Source organism: Homo sapiens, chromosome 20 (assembly GCF_000001405.40).
Source record: "Homo sapiens chromosome 20, GRCh38.p14 Primary Assembly".
Taxonomy (NCBI): domain Eukaryota; kingdom Metazoa; phylum Chordata; class Mammalia; order Primates; family Hominidae; genus Homo; species Homo sapiens.
The window spans coordinates 29,438,744-29,447,838 of NC_000020.11; the positions used below are offsets into that span (position 1 = coordinate 29,438,744).

Below are 9,095 nucleotides of genomic sequence, written 5' to 3' on the forward strand. Positions count from 1 at the left end.
GAAATGACCCACCATTTCAACTCTGGTTGAATATTTATACGTGAACACGGGCCTAGCACCAAGGTGATGTGAGTCTTTGGCCTAGCAGGAGGCAACGTGACATATCTCTCTGCCTAACAACTATTTGATGTGAACTGCTTTTTCACCTGAGCTTTTCCCGTAAAAGAGACGTGACATATGTCTAGACCCAGCACCTAGGTGATGTGGCTCTCCTTTTTTGACTAAGCCCTGTGTATTTTGGGTATTCTGACATATCCCTGGACCTAACATCTGGAAGATAAGAAGATCCAGTATGGGCCCTGTCTAAAAAGTTTCATGTGACATATTTCTATGTTAATCACCTTGGAGATGTGACTCTCCTCTCTTACCTGGGCTTTGCCCATAAGAGAGATTGTTACGTACCTCTGCAGGAAACACCTAAATGCTGTGACTCTTCTTTCTTGCCTGGGTCATGCCCACAGATGAAAGGGTGGCTTATTGCTGTGTCCAGCACACCGGTTATGTGATTATTCTGCCTGATCTCTGCTCACAGGAGCCATTGTGACATATCCCTGGGCCCAGAAACTATTTAATATGACTCTCCTCTATTACTTTAACTTTGTGCATAGGATAAATTGTGATGTATCTCTGGGTCCAGCACCTAGGTGATGTGACTGCTTTTCTGCATGGACTATGCCCACAGGAAGGAGGCTGATTTATTGCTGTGTTGAGAGCTGATGTGATACCTCGGTCCTTGTCTTCTTAGTTTATAACAATTTAAACAAAAGACACACAGAAAAGAAGTACAGCATAATTTATTGGAAAAGAAAACAAAATTTTTGAAAGTTAAGTGCATAATACAGTACACCGTGAGAGAGATATTCTAGGGCGGGCTGCTCATAAGAGTGAGACAGCGTGGATTGTCGCTGGCGAAACCCCCTTATGGGAGTTTTACATTATTATTAATAAGGAGGGGGGAAGAGGAGCTGCTAGTAAGCCTGTTCTGAGTGGTCTTCTGGGTGCACATGTGCAGTAGCTGTACATGCTTATTCATATTTTGCATGTCTCATTAGCATCTTAGACCTCTAGCCAGGAGTGTATTTTTGTTTGTTTGCTTGAGACAGAGTCTTGCTCTGTTGCCCAGGCTGGAGTGTGGTGGTGCAATCTCTGCTCACTGCAACCTCTGCCTCCCGAGTTCAAGCCATTCTCGTGCCTCAGACTCCTGAGTAGCTGGGATTACAGGCATGCACCACCATACCTGGCTAATTTTTGTATTTTTAGTTGAGATGGGGTTTCACTATGTTGGCCAGTCTAGTCTTGAGCTTCTGGTTTCAAGCAATCCATTCTTCTCAGCCTCCCAAAGTGCTGGGAGTACAAGTGTGAGCCACTGTGCCCATCTGGGGGGTGTATTTTTTGCTATTAAAATAAGCAAAAGTTAAGTTTGAGGACAGGTAAAATCAAAATGCACATGCTCTCTAGAACAGAAAGTCCTTAATGAAGATAGCTTTGCTTGAATGAGCCCAATTACAATGCGAATGCTAAGGCTCATTGTGTTGGCTGTACAGTCACCACAGTTTCATTGAAGGGGTGGCCTACCCCTCCACACCTGTGGGTGTTTCTCATCAGGTGGAATGAGAGACTGAGAAAAGAAAGAGACACAGAGACAAAGTATAGAGAAAGAAAAGACCAGCGCCCAGCATACAGAGGACCCATGCCGGCACTGGTCTCTGAGTTCCCTCAGTATTTATTGATCACTATTTCTACCATCTTGGAGAGGGGGATGTGGCAGGACACTAGGGTAATAGTGGGGAGAGGGTCAGCAGGAAAACATGTGAACAAATGTCTCTGTGTCATAAACAAGGTTAGAAAAGGTGCTGTGCCTTGATGTGCATGTATACAAACATCTCCGTGCATTAAAAAGAGTATTGCCACCAGCATGTCTCAACTCCAGCCCTAAGGCGGTTTCCTCCTGTCTCAGTAAATAGAACATACAATCGGGTTTTACGCTGAGACATTCCATTGCCTAAGGATGAGCAGGAGACAGATGCCTTCCTCTTATCTCAACTGCAAATAGGCCTTCCTCTTTTGCTAATCCTCCTCAGCACAGACAGTTTATGGGTGTCCGGCTGGGGGATGGTCAAGTCTTTACCTTCCCAGGAGGCCATATTTCAGACTATCACATGGGGAGAAACCTTGGATAATACCTGGCTTTCCTAGACAGAGGTCCCTGTGGCCTTCCACAGTGTATTGTGTCCCTGGGTACTTGAGATTAAAGAGTGGTGATGAAATTTAACAAGCATACTGCCTTCAAGCACTTTTTTAACAAAGCACGTTCTGCATAGCCCTAAATCCATTAAACCTTGAGTCAACACAGCACAAGTCTCTGTGAGCACAGGGTTGGGGCTAGGGTTACAGATTAACAGCATCTCAAGGCAGAAGAATTTTTCTTAGTACAGAGCAAAATGGAGTCTCTTATGTCTACTTCTTTCTACAGAGACACAGTAACAGTCTGATCTCTCTTTCTTTTCCCCACATTTCTGTAACCCGAGATCATGGTCATTTTCTTGACTATCTATTCTGATCTATTCTGCCTCAGTTTCCCCCTAAGAGATCTTAGAGTCATAATCATATTGGACATTGAGGGGCTAGGTCACTTTTTCTGGAGCTGTTTCCTGATGAGTGGGTGATATTTCTGCCTAGTCTGGGCCCTAAAGTTTCTTCCTGTGTGATCTAACCGGGTGTAAACCATGTAATTGTGGAACCAGTGGGCAAGTTGTTGACAGCCAAATGTTGAAAGCCTTGCAAAACAATCATGCAAACATGGAGTTGCTATAAGCAAGAGAGCAAGGAATCAGTTAACATTTTAAACAAAATTGGAACAAAAGTAAAAGCTAAAAGTATAGTAATGACTGTTACTATTAAAGAAAGTAAGGCAGGTAATAGACATTGCTTTCATGTTCCCATGGAAGTTCCTAGAGATTCAATTTTGTCTGCCTGGGTGATGATATTATTAATATTTTCTTGGACTAAACCGGGCTGATTGATCTCAAAAACAGAATTGTTCTTTTAGATATAAACATTTTCCTCTTTGCCCGGCTGGGAGAAGATCCCAGGCTCTTTGCTTTTGTCGATCTACAGTGGCCATGGAGTCCAGACGTTGTTGAAGTCTATTGAGGCCCTCTGCTGCTTGTTGCGGACCCATTGAGGTTTTCTGAGATAGTTTATACTGGATTCCCAAGGCTCCACCTTACGGTGACATTTATGCTGCAAAAGTATTTTGCATTAAAATGGTGAGAGCAACAAATGTTTTAAGTATTTTCTATTTTTTTGCTAATAAGCAAAATTTTGTGCAGCTGAGTTGGCAGCAGTCATTGGGTCCATTTATGGATGGTGAAGTTGAATGGTGGTCAAAGTTAGAGCCTGGAAGCCTTCAGTAAATGCGCTGAAGTTGTCTGAGGGCCATAAGAGTTGTTGCTTATATTGGATTAGATCATTTATTGAGAGTAGAACAAGCACTCTGATGGTCCTCTCTCCATTTGGGACTTTCTGTAAGGGGAGCAATTTCTCTGGCCCTGGATGGTGTGAAGTCCCACTGTGAGTAACTGCAGCTGGGCTGGTCTCTATTGTACCTGGCAAAGGCCAATAGAGAGGAGCATAAGGAGGAGGTGAAACAAGCTTAGATTCTACAGAAGACTCTGATAGTGTGGGGATGCTGGGGATTCTAAAGGAGGTGTAGGCCCCTGAGGGCCCCTGTCTGGAGCTGGTGTTGGGCTGTGGGGTCTGGGGTCCCTTCCCCTTAATAAGAGATGATCTTCCAATTGTTCTGAGGGGCTTTCTGGCTTACTAGGCTTTAGCCTACAGGTGCTGCATAGAGCTGGATTTTGTTGTCAGGCCAGAAAGGCTTGCACATAGGATACTTAAGACCATTTTCCCTGATTATTACAGAAAAGATCTAGCTGTAGGATGGAGTTAAAGTTCACAGTCTCATTCTCCAGCCATGTTTTGTCAGCTAATCTGTAGGCAGGCAAAATAGTGTTACAAAAGAAGATAAGGTTTTCTTTTTTCTAAGTTCATTTAGCCAAAAGCTGTTCTAATTTTTAGATATACATCCCAGGGATGTTTCAGTGACAGTAGAGGAAGCGGCTCCCACGGTGCCGAGAGAATCCTGCAACGACAGAACATTTACTGAAGTCCAGGAGGCTGTGGGCATCCCCATGAGCCAAGTGGAACCACCAAGGTGTCCAGCGCATCCCCTTGAAACCCCATTAACTGAAGCTCTAGGAGGTCATAGGCATTTGCCATACACCATCCTATCTACCCCCAGCGGTGGACATCTCCAGCCCTACCGAGATGACCCCCACTGCGGGCTGGGGGGCAGATGTCTGGCTAACAAGCCTTGCCCTAATTCACTGGTTTGTCATTTGTGATGCCCAATTACAACATCTGGAATGCTCAGATGCAATCCCTACGACTAGGCATCTGCATGACTGTGCATCTTTTGTTCAGCAAAGAAAGCCTGCTGGAGAACAATTTCAAGGAGGTGGGAAATGCATAAAGCCTGAAGGGACAGGGTTCTCTTAATGTGCTGCTCAAAACAAAACAAACATTTTTGTAAACAGAAAACCTGACCAGAAAAATACATTACAATGACCACTAGGTGGCGATGGAGTATTGCTGAAGGGACAGCAAACAATAAGCGGAGTCTGAACTGTGGCCAGAAAGATGTGAAACTAAGCGGCAAAGCAGCCCAAATATGAAATATTGAGGGCAACACATGTGGTTAGTGTATTTATCGATACCACAGAAGCAGCAGCCAAAAGGAGAGCGGACATATATTCTCTCTCTAAAGAATATAGTTGACTTAAAAACGTTTCCCCAAGAACTTTACTGAAATAGCACTGGAACAAGCAGCGATAGTTAACCAGGGAGTCTGGAACTGCCATAGTATTCACTGCAAGAAAAGGGAAACTGAAATTAATGAAGCAGACAAAACTCTCCCCAGGTCATGGTACCAGAAATGTTGATGGCTGATGTAATACCTTGTTTCTTATCTTCTTAGTTTAAGAGACACACAGCAAAAGAAGTACAGCATAATTTATTGCAAAAAAAGAGAATATTTTGAAAATTAAGTGCAGAATAGACGGTACGGTCTGAGAAAGAGATTCCAGGGCAGCCTGCTCATAAAAGTGAGACAGAGCTAATTATTGCTGGAGAAACCCTCTTTATGGGAGTTTTGCATGATTATTCATAAGAAGGTGGAAAGAAGTGTTGCAGAAAGCATGTTCTGACTGGTCTTCTGGGTGCACAGTGCAGTAGCTGTACACATTTGTGCATACATTGCATGTCTCAGTAGCATCTTAAATCTCCACCCAGGAATGTGTTTTTTACTGTTAAAATAAACAAAGGGTCAGGTTGAAGACAGATAAAATCAAAATGCAAATGCTTTTTATAAGTAAAAGTCCCTACTGATGATAGCGGGTTTCAAATGACCCCAAGTGCTCCACATCTTAAAAGTTGCTCCCATAAAGCTGGAACACTATCTGTTCCTGAGGTATCAGGTCCCATATGTGGCTCCGAGTCACTGGCAAGCCAGGCCTGACTTGAGATGAGACCATTAATTTCAAGTGTAAAATGCCTAAATAGTCAGCAACTTCAGGTTGCATTTTGGAGCATGTCCACTTAAATGGGTTGATGAAAATGGCTCACAAGACTCACGCCTCGGAGTCTTAGCAGATTTTGTGCGACCCAATAATTAACCTTCTGATGACTAGACTTTCACAGTTGTGAAAAAGGCGACTTTGAGAGTGACATTTCCAGGAAGCCACAGCCCTTGTCACCCCCTGCAGAGCTCTGAAGCTGCTCACAAGCAGGCCAGGTGAAAGATTTCTCTCAAAAACGGTTAAGTGCATGCTCTGGCTAGAGAAAAATGAGGGTTGCGGCACAATCGACTGTGTCTCAGACATCAGGAAAGTTTCCACAGCAGTTTAGGAAAGAAGGCAGCGCCTAGGGCTGCAGAAGACGTAATGCTCTGGAAAGAACCCTGGGTGCAATTGAAAGAGGAACCTGAGAAGGATAGGCTCAATCGGGTGAGGACAAACCGGCCATTTGGGAAAAGGGAAGGTGTCTTCGTAGGGTAATACCCTCCTCAATGCCCAGCCCAGACCTGCCCTCCAGGTGCACCTGTGTACTCACTCTCCTTGCAAAGAGTTGGCATAGCATAAGAACTCAGGAGTGCTTTGGACTCTGGGAAGTCCACACCGCTCTAACCCTCCCTCCAGGGCTATGCACCCCGGATCCTGGTACATGCTGGGAGTATAGTTCTGAAGCCTACCGACAAACAGGCTGAGAGCAGTTAACGGACTACAGCTCCCAGCATATTAGGTGGGGCGCGTACCACTCTGCCCCTTCTTCCAGTTCTGCGCCTCGCCCTGGAGCCTGGCGCATGCTGGGATTGTAGTCCTGTAGCCCTTTGACCAAAGGGTTGGGAGTGTTTATGAGAATACATCTTCCAGCAATCCTAGGGAGGCGCACACAGCCCGGTCTCTTCCTCCAGTGACACGCATTGTCCCTGAGACTAGTGCATGCTAAGATTGTAGTCCTGCAGCTCTTTGAGGAAAGGGCTGGAAGAGTTTATGAGCATATATCTCCCAGCAAACCTAGGGAGACGCACACAGCCCCGCCTCTTTTTCCAGTGACGCGCACTGTCCCTGACCCCGGTGAATACTGGGATGGTAGTCCTGTAGCCACGGGACCGGAAAGTCTGGGAGTCTTTATGAAACTACATCTCCCAGCAAGTAGAAGGAGGCACCCACAGTCCAGTCTCTTCCACCAGTAATGGGCACTGTCCCCGAGCTGTGTGCATGCTGGGACTGTAGTCTTGCAGCCCGGTGATGAAAGGGCTGGGAGTGTTTATGAGACTACATCTCCCAGCAAGCCCACCGAGGGGCGCATGGCCTTGCCTCTTCCTCCAGGGACGCGCACTTTCCCTGAGTCCGGTGCATGCTAGGATTGTAGTGCTGCAGCCCTGTGACCAAAGGACTGGGAGCGTTTATGAGACTGCATCTCCCAGCAAGACCAGCAAGAAGTGCGGAGCCTCGTCCCTTCCTCCAGATATTAGCGCACTCTCCCTGAGCCTGGTGCATGCTGAGATTGCAGTGTTGCAGCCCTGTGACCAAAGAGCTTTGTTATAGTTATCTGTGAAGTATTCAACAAATTACTTTACTTAATTATTACTGGAAGCCAGAACCTCAGTTGCGTTCACTTTTTGGATATTATATGAGTGAAATTGTATAATATGTATACTTTTACATCGACTTTCTTCTATGCAACATTATAGTTATGGTATTAATTCATGATATTGCAGATAGCTATAGTTTGTTTATTTAATTTTTTTTTTTTTTTACTTTGTGGTAAAGTGTACATCAAATTAACCATTTTAGCTATTGTAAGTTTGCAGCTCAGAAAAATTAACTACATTCACATTGTTTTGCAACTATCATTCCCATTCATACGGACCTTCTTTCAACTTGCAGAAACAAAACTCTATACCCATTAAATAAGCTCCTTGTTACTCCCCTCAGGCTTCTAGGAACCACTCTTCTACTTGGGTTTCTAGAATTTCTTTACTCTAAGTATCTCATAATTGGAATGATTCAGTATTTGTTCTTTTATGACTGGCTCGTGTCACTTTGCTCAATGTCCTTAAGGTTCATGCATGACATACCATGTGTCAGAATTTCCTTATTTTACATAGCTGAATAATATTCCACTGTATGTATAAATCACATTTTATCTATTTATTCATTGATGGTAATTCAAACAACACTTGAGTAATTCAAACAGCTTTCTGGTGATGTGAGTAATGCTGCTGTGAACCTAGGTGTATGTGTATTATTTTCTGTCTTTGCTTTCCTATCTTTTGCTACATACCCAGATGTGAAATTGCTGGATCGTATGGTGACATTACATGTAAATTTTTTAGTTACTATGTTGTTATTTTATAGCAGCTGTAGCATTTTACATTTCCACCAACAGTGTACAAGGGTTCTAATTGCTCCACATCCTCACCAACACTTGTGATTTTCTGTTTTGTTTTCTTTCTTTTGGTAGTAGCTATGCTGATGGGTATTAAGCGATATGTCATTTGGGGTTAGATTTGCATTTCACTAATGATGAGTTTTGTTGAGCATCTTTTCATGTGCTTATTAGCCACTTTACAAAATTTTTAGAGAAATGTCTGCTTAGGATTTTGCCAATATTTTAAACAGGTAGTTTGTGTTATTGTTGCTGAATTGTTCTTTGCGTATTCTGGATAGATTCCGATTCATCTATTTTTCTTTTGTTTCTTGTGTTTTGGGTGTCCTGTTAAAAAAAAAAAAAAAACACTGCCAAATCCAGTGTATGACATGTTTCCCCTATATTTTGTTCTAAGAATTTTGTAGTTTTAGCTCTTACATTTAGGTATTTGATCCAGTTAGTTAATTTTTTCTTATGGTATAAGTGAATGGCCCAGGTTCATTCTTTTTACATGTGGGTACCGAATTTCCCCAGCCCTGTTCTGCCTCTGACCGTCGGTCCTGTGTGGGTTTACTTGGAGGTGCTTTGCCTTGGAGAAAGGCGGGTGGACGGTGGTGGGGGCAATACAGCCCTGATAACACCTTGACTTAAGCCCAGTAAGACACGTGAGCAACAGGCCCCCTTGCAGAGGGCAAAGCAACGTGGAATCCGAAACCAAGCTTCAGTCGGCCTGAGTGTGACTCCTGTGTGGACGGGACTATCGGCCTCGCGCTCCTTTGCAGGCTCAACCTGGGGCTATCTCATCTGTGAACCATGTGGATGAAAAATGGACAACCACCCGAGTTTCGGCTCATTGCTCTCTGGGCAATTCTCTCATTCCCTGGGAGACGAAATTCGTCTGAATCGCTCCCGGATGAAGCAACCCAGGCTGGTTATCCGGAGGGCCGGTGAGCGCCCCGCAGACCAACGCGGCTGTGGGCCGAGCACTTAGCCCGCACTGGGCACCCAACATTTTTCCGGAGTGCGAGGTCCTGCTGGTCCTGGAGGCAGAAGACCGCTTTTCTCTCTGCCTTCTTTTCTCTGTCCCTTGCTCCCTCCCT

At 44.5% G+C, this 9,095-nt stretch overlaps 1 annotated feature.

Annotated features, from left to right (window-relative positions):
• Nucleotides 1-9,095: part of a centromere (Linear centromere model derived predominantly from reads generated in PMID: 17803354. This region does not represent an actual centromere sequence, as long-range ordering of repeats and unmapped WGS contigs is not provided by the model. For details of model production, see http://arxiv.org/abs/1307.0035.) that runs on past both edges of the window.